The sequence below is a fragment of the Homo sapiens genome, chromosome 19 (genome assembly GCF_000001405.40).
Source record: "Homo sapiens chromosome 19, GRCh38.p14 Primary Assembly".
NCBI classification, from domain to species: Eukaryota; Metazoa; Chordata; class Mammalia; order Primates; family Hominidae; genus Homo; species Homo sapiens.
In genome coordinates, this window is record NC_000019.10 from 33,194,330 (window position 1) to 33,211,854 (window position 17,525).

General features: G+C 61.5%; 2 protein-coding genes across 8 annotated transcripts in view, besides 5 other annotated features; one reads left to right on the forward strand and one right to left on the reverse strand.

The window, feature by feature from the left end:
- Window positions 1–14,535, forward strand: LRP3 (LDL receptor related protein 3). Of its 2 annotated transcripts, none has more exons than XM_005258945.2 (7): window positions 1–529; window positions 2,401–2,448; window positions 8,519–8,657; window positions 10,309–10,523; window positions 10,917–12,033; window positions 12,227–12,404; window positions 12,659–14,535. In XM_005258945.2, the coding sequence occupies exons 1-7, from the start codon at window positions 457–459 to the stop codon at window positions 13,244–13,246; spliced, it is 2,358 nt and encodes a 785-aa protein (XP_005259002.1). In that variant the 5' UTR covers window positions 1–456; the 3' UTR covers window positions 13,247–14,535. The 2 variants fall into 2 exon arrangements, with proteins under 2 accessions (XP_005259002.1, NP_002324.2); NM_002333.4 differs by having other exon boundaries at window positions 12,272–12,404.
- Window positions 3,215–3,274: an enhancer, noted in NCBI's record as "active region_14444". NCBI's record gives its function as "activates an Ori minimal core promoter by ATAC-STARR-seq in GM12878 lymphoblastoid cells {active_cell/tissue: GM12878}" and the evidence as "EXISTENCE:reporter gene assay evidence [ECO:0000049][PMID:35858748]".
- Window positions 4,436–4,605: an enhancer, noted in NCBI's record as "experimental_51179 CRE fragment used in MPRA reporter constructs". NCBI's record gives its function as "activates a minimal promoter by MPRAs in K562 erythroleukemia cells, with activity observed for the introgressed 19:33689756 variant allele {active_cell/tissue: K562}" and the evidence as "EXISTENCE:reporter gene assay evidence [ECO:0000049][PMID:34662402]".
- Window positions 9,066–9,235: an enhancer, noted in NCBI's record as "experimental_51187 CRE fragment used in MPRA reporter constructs". NCBI's record gives its function as "activates a minimal promoter by MPRAs in K562 erythroleukemia cells, with activity observed for both the introgressed and non-introgressed 19:33694386 variant alleles {active_cell/tissue: K562}" and the evidence as "EXISTENCE:reporter gene assay evidence [ECO:0000049][PMID:34662402]".
- Window positions 10,510–10,679: an enhancer, noted in NCBI's record as "experimental_51194 CRE fragment used in MPRA reporter constructs". NCBI's record gives its function as "activates a minimal promoter by MPRAs in K562 erythroleukemia cells, with activity observed for both the introgressed and non-introgressed 19:33695830 variant alleles {active_cell/tissue: K562}" and the evidence as "EXISTENCE:reporter gene assay evidence [ECO:0000049][PMID:34662402]".
- Window positions 12,788–13,289: an enhancer, noted in NCBI's record as "H3K4me1 hESC enhancer chr19:33698023-33698524 (GRCh37/hg19 assembly coordinates)". NCBI's record gives its function as "activates a minimal SCP1, AML or CMV promoter by ChIP-STARR-seq in primed H9 embryonic stem cells {active_cell/tissue: H9 hESC(primed)}" and the evidence as "EXISTENCE:reporter gene assay evidence [ECO:0000049][PMID:30033119]".
- The window catches only part of SLC7A10 (solute carrier family 7 member 10), a 17,187-nt gene continuing 13,996 nt past the window's right edge, over window positions 14,335–17,525 (reverse strand). For 2 of the 6 annotated variants that reach the window (XM_024451610.2, NM_019849.3), the window contains 6 exons: window positions 17,085–17,208; window positions 16,896–16,999; window positions 16,473–16,569; window positions 16,138–16,287; window positions 14,979–15,156; window positions 14,335–14,692 (listed from right to left, as the gene is read on the reverse strand). In XM_024451610.2, coding sequence (XP_024307378.1) covers window positions 14,562–14,692; window positions 14,979–15,156; window positions 16,138–16,287; window positions 16,473–16,569; window positions 16,896–16,999; window positions 17,085–17,208 — 784 coding nt within the window. In that variant the 3' untranslated portion in view covers window positions 14,335–14,561. Of the gene's footprint in view, window positions 14,693–14,978; window positions 15,157–16,137; window positions 16,288–16,472; window positions 17,209–17,525 lie in introns of those variants that run through there. The other 4 variants (XM_011527120.2, XM_011527119.2, XM_006723284.3 and 1 more) reach the window with 3 other exon arrangements.

Consider the following 17,525-nt stretch of genomic DNA (forward strand, 5'->3'; position numbering starts at 1 on the left):
GACAGACCCACGGACGCTCTACCGGCGGCACCCGGCCGGGCGGGCTGGGCGCAGCGCGGGGCGGCCCGGGGACGCCGGGGCCGGGCGGGCTGCGCGCCGCGGGGCATGGGCGCGCCGGGGGTCCCCGGGCCCAGGCCGGCCGCGGCGGGGCTCCCGGGGCGCGGGGGCAGCGGCGGGCGGGGGTCTTCCCTGGCGGCCGCCGCTGAGCCCCCGCAGGGCCCGTGACGCCGCGGCCGATGTGGCCGCGCGCGCCCTACGGGCCTGCACCGCCACCGCACAAAGACGCCTCGGGAGCCGCCGCCTGCACCCGGGCCGCAGCAGCCACGCCAGCCGGAGCCCGAGCCCTAGCCCGAGCCCGAGCCCGAGCCGCAGCCAGAGCCAGAGCCGGAGCCGCAGCCGGAACCGGAGCCGGAGCCGCGGGGCAGGAGGCGGCGCCCGCGGGCGGCCGGGCCCGGCATGGAGAAGCGCGCGGCCGCGGGGCTGGAGGGCGCGCCGGGCGCCCGGGCGCAGCTGGCCGTCGTCTGTCTGGGTGAGTGGGCCGCGCGGGCCGGGCAGGTCCGGGTCCCCCGCATGGCAGTCCGCGCCGCGCCCTGACCGACCTCCTCTCCGGCCGCGGCATCCCGAGCCCCCCACCGCGGTGGCTCCCGCGCGGAGACCCAGAGAGGGGCCAGCACCGCTTGCCCGCCTGGCCCCGGGCCTGGGAGGGCGACTCTGGTGGCGCAGCCCCGGCTCCCGCCCCGCTCGGAGTAGCGCCCGGAGCCCGGGCTGAGCGCTGGCAGGAGGCCCTTCGTGCAGGCGGCAGCCTTCAACCCGGCCCGCCCGCGCTGAGCCTGGAGACGAGGGGGCCCCGGGAGCTGGGGACAAAGGCCAGGCCGGCTGTCCCCTGAAGAAGAAACTGTTTCCGGCCCGGAGTTGGGGTGGGGGCTGGTGTAAGCCGCAGATGGGGACTCGGGGTGCGGGGCAGGGCTGGAGGAGGGTGCCAGTGTGGAGGCGGCTTCCAGGGGACTCCTGTTTTCCCTTTGTGTCTCTCAGCCCCCAGGCAGGCCTGTTCAGTTTAGGAGGGTGCTTGGGTTGGGCCAGGGACCGGTCAAGGCCAGGCATGGGGTGGGAGGGGCTCCCGCCCTGTCCGGGAGTTTTTCTGTCCAGCTTTCCAGCGCTCTGTGTAGGCGAGAGGAGGAGTTAAATCCCCAACCCACATGGCTCCTTTATTTACTGTGATGAAGGAGGGAGGCCATTATAAGAACTGGGGGTCATTAGGGGACACCCTGTGATGTCACCAGTGAGGGCTCTGTAACCTGACAGGTTTGCTGAAGCCACTGAAATGACAAAGTAATCACCCCCAGGCCTCAGGGAGCTCCGAGGCTCTGGCAGGCCCTTGCCCCAGCTGTGTGAGCCTGGCTCAGTGGGAATGTGCCATTGGGGAGCATTGAGGGTGTAACCCCAGCGCGCCCACCCCAACCTCAGTGCGGGGTCATGTGTGCTGGGCTCTGAGCTGCTGGGTGCTGGCATCCCTGGTGAGCAGAGCAGGGGGACAGGCGCTCCATGCTTAGGAGCTTTGGCCTGGCTCTGTCCAGGGGGCCTGGGTGTCCTGGGTGGGGGCAGCGGTTCCTGCTTCCTGGCCAGGCGGGATCTGACACACATCCTGAACCCCGGGAAGTTGGGTTTCCCCCCACCCCCCGACTCTGGGCCCGTAACCCCCCGGGCCAGAGCAGAAGGTGAAAGTAAGGGCCAAACCCCACGGAGGTGGGTGCTTGAGGGGTGGCTGGGGAGTTCTGCTTTCCTCCTCAAAGTCAGCTTGGCACGGGGGAAGAGGATGGTTCCGTCACTAGCTGCGTGCCCTGTAAATGGGGATTATCAGAACTGCCTCCCCTCCTGCCTCTGCTGCTGCTGGGCGAGCAAAGCCCCTTGGTAGGGGGAAGCCCTTCAAAGTTGTAGGAGCAGGCCAGGGTGCGGTGGCAGGTGCCTGTAATCCCAGCACTTTGGGAGACCAAGGCAAGAGAATTGCTGGAGGCCAGGAGTTTAAGACCAGCCTGAGCAACACAGTGAGACCTCATCTCTACAAAAATAAAAAATAAAAAAATAACCAGGCATAGTGGTGCACACCTGTAGTTCCAGCTACTTGGGAGGCTCAGGTGGGAGGATTGCTTGAGCTCGGGAGTTTGAAGCTGCAGTGAGCTATGCACTCCAGCCTGGATAACAGAACATGGAGGCAGGGAGGTGGGGGTGAGGTGGTAGGGACCCTCTTGATGGGCAGTCTTGGGCTGCGCTCTGGGCCTTGCCCTGTAAGAGGAAGGGGACCAGCGGGCCAGCCTTGGGTTTAGCTGTGGTGTCCCTCATGGGCTGCTGCTGGTCCCCAGCAGGTATGTGGGACCCCTGACCCTTTCTTTGTATCTCCCACAGTGAACATCTTTCTCACCGGGAGACTCAGCAGTGCGGTTCCTGCCTTAGGTAAGTAAGCACTTTCTCTCCTTCCTCCACTCCTTCAGTCCCTTTTGGGTGAGTGGTCCCTGAAGACAGGCCTTCAGGGTCCTGGCACTACCCCGAGTTCCTGTGTGCATCTTTTCTACATCACAAAGGAGCTGTTTGGCTTTGGACAGGCTTCAACTTGTCTGAGCCTCAGTTTCCTCATCTGTAAAGTGGGTGAAATAACAAGGTCTACTCAAAACCTGTCTCTTAGTATTCCATGAGCCAGTGAGGCAAGCTCTTAGTGTGGTGCCTGGCACGTGGTGGCTTTATACCACCGGCAAGCTGCCGAGGGTCCCGTGGAATTGACATCTTGTGCCTCATTGCAGGCCATGAGCTTCCTAGGATTTAATTTATAGGAGTATGACTGAGGGGTGACACAGAGAGGCCCATGCCAGGGAAAGAAGGCTTTATTAATTTTCTTGAAAGGAGGGGACATGCCACGCCATGCAGGGCCACCTGGGAATTACTAGATTTGGACAAGCAGGAGCAGGGGTGGAAGAAAGGTGTAAGTTAGAAGCTGCATCACAGCTTCCGTGGGAAAGTCTCGACATCCAGGTGCTGTGGCTCACGCCTGTGATCCCAGCATTTGGGAGGCTGAGGCAAGAGAATGCTTGAGCCCTGGAGTTTGAGACCAGCCTGAGCAACATAGTGAAACTCCATCTCTACAAAAAAAATCTGAAAATTAGCTGGGCACGGTGGCATGTGCCTGTAGTCTTAGCTACTCGGGAGACTGAGGCAGGATGATTGCTTGAGCCCAGGAGTTTGAGATTGTAGTGGGCTATGACGGCTCCACCGTGCTCCAGCCTGGGTGACAGAGCGAGACCCTGTCTGTAAAACCAAAACCAAAACCTGAGGTCAAGGTGCAGCCCGGGAGAACAATGGGGGCCTCTGACTTGTTCGTTGCCTGCTGCTCTGCTCGGTGGGGCAGGAGGTGCCTGGGTTTCTAGTTCTGTGCAGGGCCCGGCTTGCTGGAGAAAGGACCCGGAGCTGTCAGGCAGCGGGACCCCTGCTGTGGTCAAAGGGGAGGCCCAGGGTGCACAGAAGCTGTGCTCACTGGCTCCTCTGGCAGGCTTGGGCCTCTTTCCCTCTCTCTCTGCCCTGAGCTGTGCTCTCAGGAGCCCGGCCTCCTCTGATGCTTCGGGCTGGCTCAAGGCCGGGCCTTGCTCAGCGCTGACCTAGCCCCAGCCCTGTCTGCTGTCCTGGTCCACACAACTGATGGAGGCCCAGTCTCCCATCCCAATTTCCAGGAAAAGGCTGACTGGCCCAGCCTGGGTCAGATGTCTGTGGCCATGGTAGAGTCAGGGGAAGGGGGAATGAGGGTGTCACAGCTTATGAATGTGAGCCCCAGGACACCCTCCTGCTGGTGGGTGTGTCACCCCAAATGTGTATATACTCCACTTTCAGAAAAGTGCTTCCCTGGGGACTAGGGCCAGTCATGGAGCTTGGGCGAGGAGGACACTGTCCAGGTCCTTGCGTTTGGTTGTCCTTAGCTGTCAAGACCTCAGGCCCCAGCAGGGTCCACGTTGCCAAACTCCAACGGCTGCTGTTCACCCCTGGTGCCCTCTGTGATGGGAGCTGCACGCCCAGCGCGCAAGGCCATGGGTGGTGATCTGGGACCCTAGCTGTCCTAGAGTCCACTTCTGACACCTCCAGCATTACTGACCACCTGCAGGTGGCCCAAGGTACCCACCTCCCACCACAGCTCCATGACTCTGCATTTCCAGAGCTTTCCCTGGGATTCCTGCTGTGTGGGACCCTGGATTGGGAAACATTCCCCCAGCCCCTTCTCCACCCTAACTAGGCTCAGTTGCTCCAGAGGGTCTAGCAGGGCTACCTGGGGACCTCACAGGTTTTTACCCCTCAGCAAACCCCATCCTAAGCCCAGGTATGTTGGGCCCTGACTGGTCAGAACACCTCCTGCATCCCCCCAGCCTCTGGGCTCAGCCCTGAAGCTACTGTGGCTCCAACGGGGAGGGCCTGGGCAGGGGCTTCATGCAGTTTGCAGGCAGCTGGCAGCTTCCCCGGCACGTCTGGGGTGGGACTCCCAGCTCCCCGTCGTCGGATTACACCAGGCAGGTTGGCGGGGGTATTGATCAACTTTGGAAATTGGATCTGCAAATTGTGCTTTCTCAGGCCTTGCAGTGTCCTCTCAGGAATATTTGATGACTCTTTGGACCAGGAAAGGACACTGGCCCGAAAGTACCTGGTCATTCCTTCCCTACTTGTGTGGGCCACCATGGCTCCGAGGGCCCAGGCCATCTTCTGCCTGAGAGAAGTCAGGTCACCTCCAGCTGAAGCTCAGACAGACCTCTTGACAGCCCCCAACACCTCCGAACCCCTCCCTCTTCCCCATTATCCCGCAAATCATGCAGTCCTCCCATCTGCCCTCACTGCCTGCCCGCTGCTACACAGCCTGTCATGAACCTCACCTCCATGGAGCATTCCTGGAGATCCCCCTCCTCATTGGCAACCCCTGACCCTGTGCCCTACCACATGCACGTCTGCCTCAGGTCAAGCAGGGTTCTTGCCTAGGCTGGGCATGGTGGGGCACACCTGTAGTCTCAGCACTTTGGGAGGCTGAGGTGGGAGGATCACTTGAGCCTGGAAGTTAAGGCTGCAGTGAGCTGTGATCGCACCACTGCACTCCAGCCTGGGAGACAGAGCAAGATCTTGTCTCAGAAAAAAAAAAAAAAAAAGGAGTCCCTGCCTAGAACTTGCAGCTCCCTGCACAGAGCCCAGCCTCCCTCCTGCCTCCCATCCCCTCTGCATGAGGCTGGGCTGCTGCTGCACCCACCATGGTCTCTGCCAACCCGCTTTGGAGAAGAGCAAACAGTTTAACCAAGTTTCCCTGATGTGGAAATTTCCGGGGGGCCCCCAGGGGTGAGGCTGTTTGGAGGCACCCGTTGTCAGGGTTTTGCTGAGAGGCAGGGCAGCTGGCAGTTGTCCCTTCCTCTGCTCCTGATGTGGCTGGTGGCCTCCCAACCCCTGATGAAGGGGTCAGACATAGGTCTATGAGGGAGAAGGGTTCTGGCTGAAGTGAGTGGGAAGAGAGAAAGGTGGCAGGTGACACCTGGCTTTTCCCAGAAAGCGTGGGTGAGACACCTGGCCCCCAAGGGCCCCAAGGAGAGGGGCAGGTCTATGTCTGTCCCCTAGGGGAGGCCTCTGGGGCTGAGTAGGAATGGACAGCGCCTTGCCCTGCCCCTGGCCTTGTCCTCCAGGACAGGGGACCTCACAGGTTTTTACCCCTCAGCAAAAAGGTGAACATGGGAGGTTCCCAGCCACGCTGACTCAGAGGCTGACACTTCAGCTTAGCATGCGCTTTAGAGATGCAATGTGGGGGACCATACCACTTCAGCCTCACTGGGCCTTCCCTTCTGTGGAACCTCCTGTTCGGCCCCCTCCAATGGGAAAGATCTCTTCTTTTGGATTTCCTTCTTTTTTTTAATTTTTTTTGGAGAAAAAGTCTTGCTGTGTCACCCAGGCTGGAGTGCAGTGGTGTGATCTTGGTTCACCACAACATCCGCCTCCTGGGTTCAAGCGATTCTCCTGCCTCGGCCTCCTGAGTAGCTGGGATCACAGACGCCCAGTACCACGCCTGGCTAATTTTATACTTTTAGTAGAGACAGGGTTTTGCCATGTTGGTCAGGCTGATCTCAAACTCCTGACCTCAAATTATCCCCCCGCCTTGGCCTCCCAAAGTGCTGAGACTGCAGGTGTGAGCCACTGCACCCGGTCTCTTTTGGATTTCTTCACCCTACACCTCCCAAGGAATCCCAGTTCAGGACCTCAGGGCTCTGTGAGGTCCTCATGGCCAGTAGCCTCACCCGGCAAAGGGAACCAGGCTGGGGCCGGGGCCACTTTGCATGTTTGGGTGGCTGCACCCTGAGACTCCTTTCTGATAGTTTATCTCCTGCCCTTCCTGGCTGGGAGCAGGGTGTACAGTGCCCTATTTCTGGGGCAGGATCAGAGGCTCATTGTGGGGGCTGCCTCCCAGGGCCATGCATGAGTTCCAGGTGGAGAGGTGCTGGCTTGCACCTCACTGACCTGGGACTGTCAAGGGTCTGATGGTGACGCAGTGGTGGCCAGCCTTGCTTTAGGACCAAGAGTTCTGTTCTTATCCTTGATGCTCTCACGAGCTGTCCGTGGGGGTTACTGGCTCCCTATTTGTCACAGTCCCGACTCACCTGGGCCTTCATGGTCCTAGTAGGCCCCCAGGGGAAGGGGCTTCAGCTCTCAGCTCATGGCTCCAGCTGCCCAGCAGGTCCTCAGATGGACCCGTCCACTCAGGGACCCACATCTCTGGAGCACCTGCCATGCATTAGGCACTGTGCAGGGCCCTGGGACATGGCACGGCCCTACCTGCCTGTGTGATGTTCATCCATCAGTCCCAACAACAAAAGGGAAATGCTCTGTGGCCGAGGCTGGGGGGAGGGATGGAGGGTTGGAGCTCTGTGGGGGCTATCCCGGAGGGCTTCCCTGGGAAGGGACCTTGGAGCTAGGGGTGGAAGCTGAGGAGTCCGTGAATGGGATAAGAAGGTGGGGATAGCACCCACTAGGGACCACCAGGGCCTCCAGGGCAAAGTCCCCTCCAATGTGAGAGATCGGAGAGGTCCGGGGGGCTAGGGGTTATGGGAGGGATGAGGCAGAGTGTGGGGCAGGGAGGGGGCTGGCGCTGCTGTAGTGAATTGTGGTTTTGTCCTAAGAGCATGGGAGGCAGCCAGAGGGCTCTCCTTCCTTTCCTGCAGCTGGGTGCCAGAGAGTCTTGCTGAGAACCAGAGAGAACTTGGCTTGCAAGGTCACGGTGCCAGGGGCCAGCCATGGGAGAGTGAGGAGAGAGTGTCACTGGGCTCGGGAAAGGGGTCGTCCCTCACCTCAGTTTTTCCATCTGCAAAATGGGCCCTGCCTTCATCTCAGGCTGTTGTGAGAATCAGATGGACCAGCGTGGGGAAGGGTCAGGGTGCTGTGGGGTGGGAGGTGTGGTCAAGTGCAGGGGCCAGCCGCCTGGTCCTGGGAGGGTCAGGGCACAGCGGGGCAGGGCAGGCTCACCACACTGCCCTGGATGGTTTAGAAGCAGAGAGCATGGAGAATGGATGGATTAAAGCGAGGCCCATGGGGCTGGGCATGGAGGGCTCCTCCTTTGAGCTGGCGGGCGTGATGCTTTGCTCAACCTGAGCGGTATACAGTTGGCACTCCATGAGTGCATGCTGGCTCAGTGCTGCAGCAAGAAGCTGAGGCCCCCAGAGGCCTACAGTGATTCCTGACTCTGCCCCTCCCTAACTGTGTGGCCCCAGGCAAGTCGCTGACCCTCTCTGAGCCTGTTTCCTCACCTGGTTCCGAGATCTACCTTTGGCGGCTTTGCACTTGTACTCAGGATAAAACTCAAATTCTGCACAAGGTGTGATCAGATCCAGGTGGCGTTTCCAGCCACAGCTGGACTTTGCCACCTCTCTTCAGGCCTGTTGTAGTATCTTCATTCCACTGAGGGGTTCTGCGTAAAGTTCGTCTGCTCCCACCCCCAGCCTATGAGTTCCATAGAGCAGGCCTTATTCCCACCTTACTCAGTGTGCCTACCATGCATGCTTGGCATGTAGTAGGTGCTCAGTAAATACTTGTTGAGTGAGCAAAGCCTCAGGGAAGGCAGGCAGGGGGCCATCGCAGGATGGGCTATGCCGGCTGGGCAGGCCTAGGGGTGTGGGATTCTCCACTGACCCGAGGCCACGAGGCTACACCTTGGAGGTGCCGGCTGGCAGGACGGGTTGTTGGTGGGTTTTCTCCCAGCTCTGCCAGAGATGCGGGGGACAGGACCTAGGCTGTAGTCCACTGCATAGGGTTGGGGGCTACAGCTGCCTCAAGTCTAGGGGGCCCTCCTTGGCCTCCCGTACACACCACCTCCATGAAGTCACAAGTTGTGGCCTTGCCCTTGGCCATGGCCACCCTTGGCTGGACTCGATCCCACCATGGGGGAGGCCTGTGCTGAAGCCCCCTTCCCCCCACTGCAACCCGCATCCCAACCAAAGATGGGCCGGCCTTTCTCGGCCTCCTCTCCCGACAGCGGCCTGCAGTGGGAAGCTGGAGCAGCACACGGAGCGGCGTGGGGTCATCTACAGCCCGGCCTGGCCCCTCAACTACCCGCCAGGCACCAACTGCAGCTGGTACATCCAGGGCGACCGTGGTGACATGATTACCATCAGGTAGGGGCACCCGGGGGTGTCGGAAGGAATCAATGTGGGCCCACGTGCATGGGGTGGGTGAGAATGTGTGTGTGTGAGCAGGTGTGGAGGGCACACGCCTGAGGGTGTACATGTGTGTGAGCAGGTGTGGGATCATGTGCATGTGTGTGAGCATATGAGTGAGGCGTGTGTGAGCACTCGTGTGAACAGGTGTATGGGTGTGTGCATGTGTGTGAGCATTTGTGAGTAGGTGTGTGTGCATGCAGATGTGTGTGTGTGAGGTAGGCGTGTGTAGGTATTTGAGCAGGTATGTGGTGTGTGCATGCATGTGAACACATGTAAGTAGGTGTGTGTGCATATGTGTGTGTGTGCATGTATGTGAACACATGTGTGCTTGTGTACATGGAAAAGCCCATGTCGGAGAAGACATAAAGGACACATGTGAGAGACTGCATGTGTGAGCACATGTATGTGCACGAGCCATGCCTGCAAAGGTGCAGAGAGCGTGTATGTGCGCATGCATGTAAGATAACAGGTGTAACCATGTGTGAACCGTAAGCATGTATGTGCACATGTGAATGCATGCACGCAAGTGTGTCCAGTGCTCTGGGTCTCCACGGGCCTCTGTGGCGAGGTGCCCAAGCTGGACCTCTTCCTGGTTTGAGCCTCGTTCATGGGGTGTGGGGGGTCTCAGTCACTCAGCTCTGCCAGGAAGGCAGGGCCAGCACACAGGCCACTGGGAACACAGCCTGGGACTGGTGGGCATGGTCTGATGTCTCTGAGGTGGCAGAGGTGTCCTCTCTGTCCTGCAGGGGTGGCTGGGGGCCAGGCTGGCACTGAGCCCAGAGCATGGTTTCTGGAGGGGGCCTTGGGGAGGGGAGTGAATCAGGCAAAGCCCGGGTGCTTGAGCTGCAGGGACATGCAGAGGGAAAGGGGGCCAGGCAGTGAGCGGTGGTCCTGGCCAGGGGTGGTCACAGGGACATTTGGCTGGGGAGTCACTATAGGTTCCATCTGCCATAGTTTTCCTAAATGCCAGAGCCCAAAAAGCGCAACCCCTGACTTACTCCATAGCTGCAATGCGTGAGGATGTGATGGGCATGGGCAGGGTCTATCCTAGTCTCTGTGCCTCAGTTTCCCCAAGGGCCAGGTGGTTCAGGGCCAGTGTATCTCCGGAGATGACAAGCTGTCAACCTGCTGCAGCCTTAGCCAGCCCCGTGGGCAGTCTCACCCTCACTTCCCATGCCTGGGACTTTGTGCTGGGCCCATCCCAGTGGTCCCGAGGTGGAGGGTTCTGGGCCCTTGGGCCACTGCCCTTTTGGGGAGGGTGTCGGGGCAGGGGGCTCTTGACTTCCTGCTCCACTTCGGCTTCGGGCTGGGGGTACTGTGTGCACTGATGGAGGGAAGGGGAGCCGCAGCAGAGCTGGAAATGACCTGCGTGGATGTCGCAATTCTTCATGGAGCCTCCCGTGCACACCTGGATGGGGACAGTGTGGGGACAGAGTGGCTGGGAGTGGAGGAACCAGGCAGTCTGGAACATGAGGAGTGGGGGCAGCCGGCCGGGACAGGGCTGGCTGTCCTGGCCGTGGCTCCAGCCTGACCACTCCCTGCTGGTCCTCGGCCATGGAGATCCCACCTACTGCCTCATGTCTGGGTCCTCTCCGCCCCCCCGCAGCTTCCGCAACTTTGACGTGGAGGAGTCCCACCAGTGCTCCCTGGACTGGCTCCTGCTGGGCCCAGCAGCCCCACCCCGCCAGGAGGCCTTCCGCCTCTGTGGCTCCGCCATCCCACCTGCCTTCATCTCTGCCCGCGACCATGTCTGGATTTTCTTCCACTCAGACGCCTCCAGCTCCGGCCAGGCCCAGGGCTTCCGTCTGTCTTACATCCGAGGTGATGGAGGCTGCAGGGCAGGCAGGACACCACGGAGCACACCGTGCATGCCCACAGGCTCCCGGCCCACAGGGGCGGCACCCTCCACAGGGCCCCGGCTCCCTGTGGGATGTCCCCTGACCGCCCTGTCAATCTCAGGACAGTGGCAGGACTGGGCATGCGGATGCCTTGGACCTCTCAAGGTCACTGGCCCCACTTCCCAGTCTTGGCTAGTCCTGGGAACTCACCCCTAACCCCAGGCTCAGGTCAGGGACAGAGCCCACCCTGGTGTTGGAGGGGTCTCTGCTGCCACAGTGATGGGGAACCACCTGCCCGCTTTTGGCCCCAGGCCCCCTGGCCGAAGGGAGGCTCTTCTGTCTCCTGACTGTCCCCTGCTACGTCTCCACCCCACAGGGAAGCTGGGCCAGGCATCCTGCCAGGCAGATGAGTTCCGCTGTGACAACGGCAAGTGCCTGCCCGGCCCGTGGCAGTGCAACACGGTGGACGAGTGTGGAGACGGCTCTGATGAGGGCAACTGCTCGGCGCCCGCCTCCGAGCCTCCAGGCAGCCTGTGCCCCGGGGGGACCTTCCCATGCAGCGGGGCGCGCTCCACGCGCTGCCTGCCTGTGGAGCGGCGCTGTGACGGCTTGCAGGACTGCGGCGACGGCTCGGATGAGGCGGGCTGCCCCGACCTGGCGTGCGGCCGGCGGCTGGGCAGCTTCTACGGCTCCTTTGCCTCCCCAGACCTGTTCGGCGCCGCTCGCGGGCCCTCAGACCTTCACTGCACGTGGCTGGTGGACACACAGGACTCCCGGCGGGTGCTGCTGCAGCTGGAACTGCGGCTGGGCTATGACGACTACGTGCAGGTATACGAGGGCCTGGGCGAGCGCGGGGACCGCCTGCTGCAGACGCTGTCCTACCGCAGCAACCACCGGCCCGTGAGCCTGGAGGCCGCCCAGGGCCGCCTCACTGTGGCCTACCACGCGCGCGCCCGCAGCGCCGGCCACGGCTTCAATGCCACCTACCAGGTGAAGGGCTATTGCCTCCCCTGGGAGCAGCCGTGCGGGAGCAGTAGTGACAGTGACGGGGGCAGCCTGGGCGACCAGGGCTGCTTCTCAGAGCCACAGCGCTGTGATGGCTGGTGGCATTGTGCCAGCGGCCGAGACGAGCAGGGCTGCCCTGCCTGCCCGCCCGACCAGTACCCCTGCGAGGGTGGCAGTGGTCTGTGCTACACGCCTGCCGACCGCTGCAACAACCAGAAAAGCTGTCCCGACGGCGCCGACGAGAAGAACTGCTTCTCCTGCCAGCCCGGCACCTTCCACTGCGGTACCAACCTGTGCATCTTCGAGACGTGGCGCTGTGACGGCCAGGAAGACTGCCAGGACGGCAGCGATGAGCATGGGTGCCTGGCCGCCGTGCCCCGCAAGGTCATCACGGCGGCGCTCATTGGCAGCCTGGTGTGTGGCCTGCTGCTGGTCATCGCGCTGGGCTGCGCCTTCAAGCTCTACTCACTGCGCACGCAGGAATACAGGTGGGCGCTGTGCCCGCAGCCAGGGGACCGGGCTTCTTCATCACCCAGGCTTGCTGTCCCCGTAGCTGTGGGTTTGCAAACGGGGGCCTGGACTAGCTACATGGAGGCTGCCCTGGTGCACACTGGGGTCCCTATATCTTGGGGTGTCTGGGTGGAGGGTCGTCCTGGAATCCTGTTGTTGTTCCTGCTGCAGGTCCCGGGCAGCCCAGTCATGTCGCCCTCCGCCCACTGCTTCTAGGGCCTTCGAGACCCAGATGACGCGCCTGGAGGCTGAGTTCGTGCGGCGGGAGGCACCCCCATCCTATGGTCAGCTCATCGCCCAGGGCCTCATTCCACCCGTGGAGGACTTTCCTGTCTACAGTGCGTCCCAGGTGAGCCCCCGGAGGGCGTGAGGCCCCTCCGGGGCCACTTGGGACAGTGTGCGGAGGAGGCTGGTCCAGGGGTCACAGGAGCAGGAGGCAAGGCCTGCGCAGGGTGACCTGAGGGCCCATGGCCAGGTGGGGGGGGTGGACAAGGTGGTCTCTCGGGTCTCAGGTCCCTTGGGGGTGTGCTGTCTCCTGCCCCTGAGCAGCCTGTCTGCCCCCTCAGCCGCATCCCCCCGCCCCTACCCTGCTCCACCCCACAGGCCTCTGTGCTGCAGAATCTTCGCACAGCCATGCGGAGACAGATGCGTCGGCACGCCTCCCGCCGGGGGCCCTCCCGCCGCCGCCTCGGCCGCCTCTGGAACCGGCTCTTTCACCGGCCGCGGGCGCCCCGAGGCCAGATCCCACTGCTGACCGCAGCACGCCCCTCACAGACCGTGCTGGGCGATGGCTTCCTCCAGCCTGCTCCAGGGGCTGCCCCCGACCCCCCAGCACCGCTCATGGACACAGGCAGCACCAGGGCGGCCGGAGACAGGCCCCCCAGTGCCCCCGGCCGTGCACCGGAGGTGGGACCTTCAGGGCCACCCTTGCCCTCGGGCCTGCGAGACCCAGAGTGCAGGCCCGTGGACAAGGACAGAAAGGTCTGCAGGGAGCCACTGGTAGACGGCCCAGCTCCTGCAGATGCACCTCGGGAGCCCTGCTCAGCCCAGGACCCGCACCCCCAGGTCTCCACTGCCAGCAGCACCCTGGGCCCCCACTCGCCAGAGCCACTGGGGGTCTGCAGGAACCCCCCGCCCCCCTGCTCCCCAATGCTGGAGGCCAGCGATGATGAGGCCCTGTTGGTCTGTTGACCGCTGGGCTCGCTGGTGACCGCCACAGCCCCGCTTTGTAACCAGGGAATACACAGTCATTTCTACCCTGCCTCTGCGTCCTTTCTTATGGAGAGGCCCTCCGGGGACCCCAGCGGAGGGGCTGGCCCCTAAGCCAGCTGGCTGCACTGGTGGGCGGGAGCTGTGGGACTGAACGGCGGGGGGGAGAAGAGTGGAGTGGTGAGCCCGTCTGCAGGGTCCCATTGTACACAAGCACCCTGGGGTCTCACTTCTCTCCCCCCACTCCATTCTGGGAACCCATTTCCAGAGAAGCAGGGGACCAGAGCCTTTTTGCTTCATCTGCCCTGCAGTGGCAACAGCTGCCCCTAGAGCTGGGAGTTGTCATGAGGATGGGGCCGGGCCATGGGGACGCTGGGTCTCATCCGTGGTGACTATTTTGCTCACGCCTCACCCTCTTCCTGTCCAGCAAGGCCTCTGGAGGACCTGGGTTGGGTGGCTCCTGCCAAACCCTCATGCCCCTGGCCAGGCAGGCGCCCTTTGCCCTCCCTGAAGGTCCAATCTCCTGGGCACCGTGGAAGGGCTGGGGTGTGTGCCTGCTGTACATGAAGCCCCTGGAGTTCCCTGCAGGCCTCAAAGCCCCCAGGACATGCTGCTCTGTGCTTTCTGGGGACAGAGAGGCCGAGGCACCAACAGCAGTGGCCACGTCTGTTCCATCCTATCTCAGGGCCTCGGTTTCCCCACCTGTAAGCCAGGGTGAGACTGTGGGCTCTGAAGTCCTGACCTTCACTCTGTGGTGATTTACGGGAAGAAAGACAATCCCAGCCTGGAGCCCCTGAGCTCTCCTGGGTGGCCGAGCTCAGACTGGCATCGAGGGGCCTGGGGTAGGGGCGGACTGAGCTGCTACCCCATCCTCGACATCCCTTTAGGGCAGGGGGACTCTGGGTGCCATGGTAGGGAGCGCCTGTGTCAAGCAGCAAAGCCCCCTAATGTCAAGAGCCTCCTCCAGGGCCTGCCACGGCATCTTCCTGGCCAGCAACATGTGTGCACCCACCGAGGTACGCCCCAGCCACTCCCATCTGTGCCCATCAGGGACTCCCCATAGCACGAGCGAACAGCCAGCCCTGTTTATTTATAGGCCTTTTCAGGAAGAGCTAGCAGGGCAGTGCTAAGACAGGAAACCCAGTCCACATTTTAGGGCTTCCTTAAACAGGCTTCTGAGAGTCGTATCTTTTTTCTTTTTTTTCCAGAAAAAAACAAAACAAAACTTTTTTGCCAAAACACCTCCTCAATAAACAACATGTAAACAGAAACAACTGCTTCAGTCTCTACAAAAATCTCATTGTGGCTTCGAGGGCTTGTCTGTGGCAGGCAGCAGGGAGGGTGGGCAGGGGCCATTCTCCTCCTCTTCGGGGGCGTCCTGGGGGTAGACCACGAAACACAGCTCCTGGCCCCAGTGTGTCATGGACTCTGAGGACAGACAGATGGACCTTGGGGCCTGACCTCTCGGGATAGGGGTGACCCCCAGCTCCGGACACCTCCCCTTGGGCAGGGGTCTTCAGGGAGTTGCTCCGTCGGTACCCGTGGTTCTGGAAACTTTGGGTACATCTTGGGAAGAGACATTTGGTGGCGGCTGGGCCCTGTGTTCCCACCTCAGCTGCTAGGACACCCTGCTCTGGGGTGAGCCTCTAAGAGGGAGGTCTGGTCTCCAGGCCCCGGCCCCCTGTGCTGGGTGACCTGCAGCTGCCCGGCTCACCTGTGAGTCTGTGCACACACTTTGGTTTGCTTCTCCAGAACACTCCCAGAAAGAAAATGGGCACCCCCGTAAGGATGATGATGACGCCGACCCCACAGACCATAGGCTCTGAGATGAAGCTGAAGACCAGCAGGAAGGCCCAGAAGACCAAGTACGCCACGGGGATGAGAAGGTTCACCTGGGGAAGGGGGAGCAGAAACACCGATGGTGCAGGGCCTCCAGCTGTCTGTACCCCCGACCCCTGGGGGTCTGGGGAATTTTCCTCCCTTCCCTGGGAGCTGAGGCCTGAAGGGCAATTGCACCCACTACACCCCCTCTTGGCGACAGCCCAGTGTGTTGGAGGCCAATTCATGGGTCAGGCCGTTGGCCAGTTTTGCTGAGGATTTTTCAAAGTCTCAGCGGCACCGAGCTCCACACAGCGGTTGCGTGTGGACTTGAGGCTTGCACTTGGCTGGAGGTCAGTGATTTTTTGGTGTTTCACATTTCAGGCACTGAGCACTTCTCCACTTAAGGATTTATACACACATGGGGGGCTTTGCTTTTAGCTCAGGCTATGGTCTTCTGTTTTTGTGTGGGCTCATGAAATCCTGGCAGCCTTTGTGACCTTGAACAGTTCCTGAGTCTCATTTTCTTTAATTTTTTTTTTTTTTTGAGACAGGGTCTCCCTCTGTCACCCAGGTTGGAGTACGGTGGCCCTAGCACCGCTCACTGCAGCCTCAACCTCCCGGGCTCAAGCGATCCTCCCATTTCAGCCTCTCAAGTAGCTGGGACCACAGGTGCGCACCACCACACCAGGCTAACCCTTTTATTTTTAACTTTTTGCAGAGAGGAAGTCTCGTTATGTTGCCCAGGCTGGTCTCAAACTCCTGGGCTCCAGCAATCCTCCCACCTCGGCCTCCCAAAGTGCTGGAATAGGCATGAGCCCCTGTGCCCAGTCCTGAGCCTCATTTTCGCCATCTGTACACTGGGAGCATTCAAAGCTCTGTCCTCATGGGGCTGCTATGAGGAATGGCTGCCTCAGTGCACAGAGAGCCCTGAGCAGGGCCCAACACTCCACAAAAGCTGGCACCTCCCATCCCACCTGCCCCTGGTGCCCACTGTGGATGCAGGGGTGGCTCTGGCAGCACCCGGCACAGGGCCAGCTGTCCCAGGGCCTCACCTTGATGGGCCTGTGGAGTGCAGGCCGCCTCCAGCGCAGCAGCAGCAGGCCCAGGATGGTGACGCCGTAGCAGAGGTAGTTGATGAAGGACACATAGTTGATGAGCGTGTACGTGTCGCCCACGAGCATGATGACGGCTGTGGCCCCGCACTGGGAGAGGACCTGGGGCTGACGGCTGGCCCCTAGCCTGCCTCCTGACGCCCCTGCAGGATGAGCCCTGGCCCCACCCCCAACCCCCACCCTGGAATGGCTCACCCCTGCCATTACCCGGAAGGTCCTGCATTGCCGGGTAGCCCTGCCTCCACGCCCTGCCTGGCCCAGGTCCCCCAACTTACACAGACGAGGAGGGCGGGGATGGGGGTGCAGTGTCTGACGTGGATCATGGCCAGCAGGCTGGGCAGGTGCCCCTCGCGGGCTCCAGAGAAGCACAGCCTAGCGTTGGGGACAGATATGGGCACTGGCCACATCCTGGGTCTCAGCTTTGGACCTGATGTCCCTCTTAAGCTGTCGCCTCTGACCTCCTGCTCCGGGCCCAGCAGCCCCACTGGACAGTTCTCCCCCTCATCCAGCCTGCCTGCCTCTTGCTTTCTTTGCCTCCCAGTTGTGATCAGACACTTGTTACCGTGTGGGATCATCATCCCAGCTTCAGGCAGACCCCTCCCCCGGCAGGTGTCCCTTCCTCTGGCCCACGGCATGACTGGTGCACACCTGCACCCCAGCCTTCCCTCCCCATGCCCACGTCTCCCCAGTGCAGTCACCTGGAGTAGGTGAACAGGTAACCATTGATCCCTCCGAAGGTTGACAGAGCCACGGAGACAGGCATGACCCAAGAAAAGTAGCCCAGCAGCTTCTCCCCGAAGGTCTGGGTGGGCACAGTAGAGAGGCCATGTGTAAGGCCGGGGCAGGGGCCTGGGCAGGAGCCAGGGACCGAGCAGGGGCCCACTCACCACAGCCACCGCATTGGAGGAGAGCAGCTCCTGGGGGGACATGGCCGTGAAGTAGGCAATGTTGGTGAACGTGTACACGAAGGTCACCAGTGGGATGGAGATGAAGATGGCGCGAGGTAGGTTCCTGGTGACAGGCAGTGGAGTGCGTCAGCGTCAGCTCCTGAGGGTGCAGGACCCCCGAGACCCAGCCACGAGAGCAGCTCATAGTCTCCATCTCTTGTGTCTGCTGGGGATGTTGGGGCAGGAAAGGGGGCAGCATTGCTGCCCGAGACACAGGGACCCTGTTGTCTGCCCTGCCCCACCCCCACCTGGACACAGGCTGGTAGGATGGGAGATGGGGGAGGGGCCCCATCACATCCTGAGGACAGGGTCTGATGTCTGTGCAGAAAGATAAAATCGCATACAGCCAAAATCAGCCTGGAAAATTCCCCAAAATGGCCC

What these genes read in the sequence shown, in the direction of transcription:
- LRP3 (XM_005258945.2), top strand. Translation starts at nt 457, where the DNA reads ATGGAGAAGCGCGCGGCCGCGGGGCTGGAGGGCGCGCCGGGCGCCCGG. An exon ending in CCGTCTGTCTTACATCCGAG is followed by an intron (nt 10,524 to 10,916) that starts GTGATGGAGGCT and finishes TCCACCCCACAG; the next exon opens with GGAAGCTGGGCCAGGCATCC. An exon ending in CTGCGCACGCAGGAATACAG is followed by an intron (nt 12,034 to 12,226) that starts GTGGGCGCTGTG and finishes TTCCTGCTGCAG; the next exon opens with GTCCCGGGCAGCCCAGTCAT.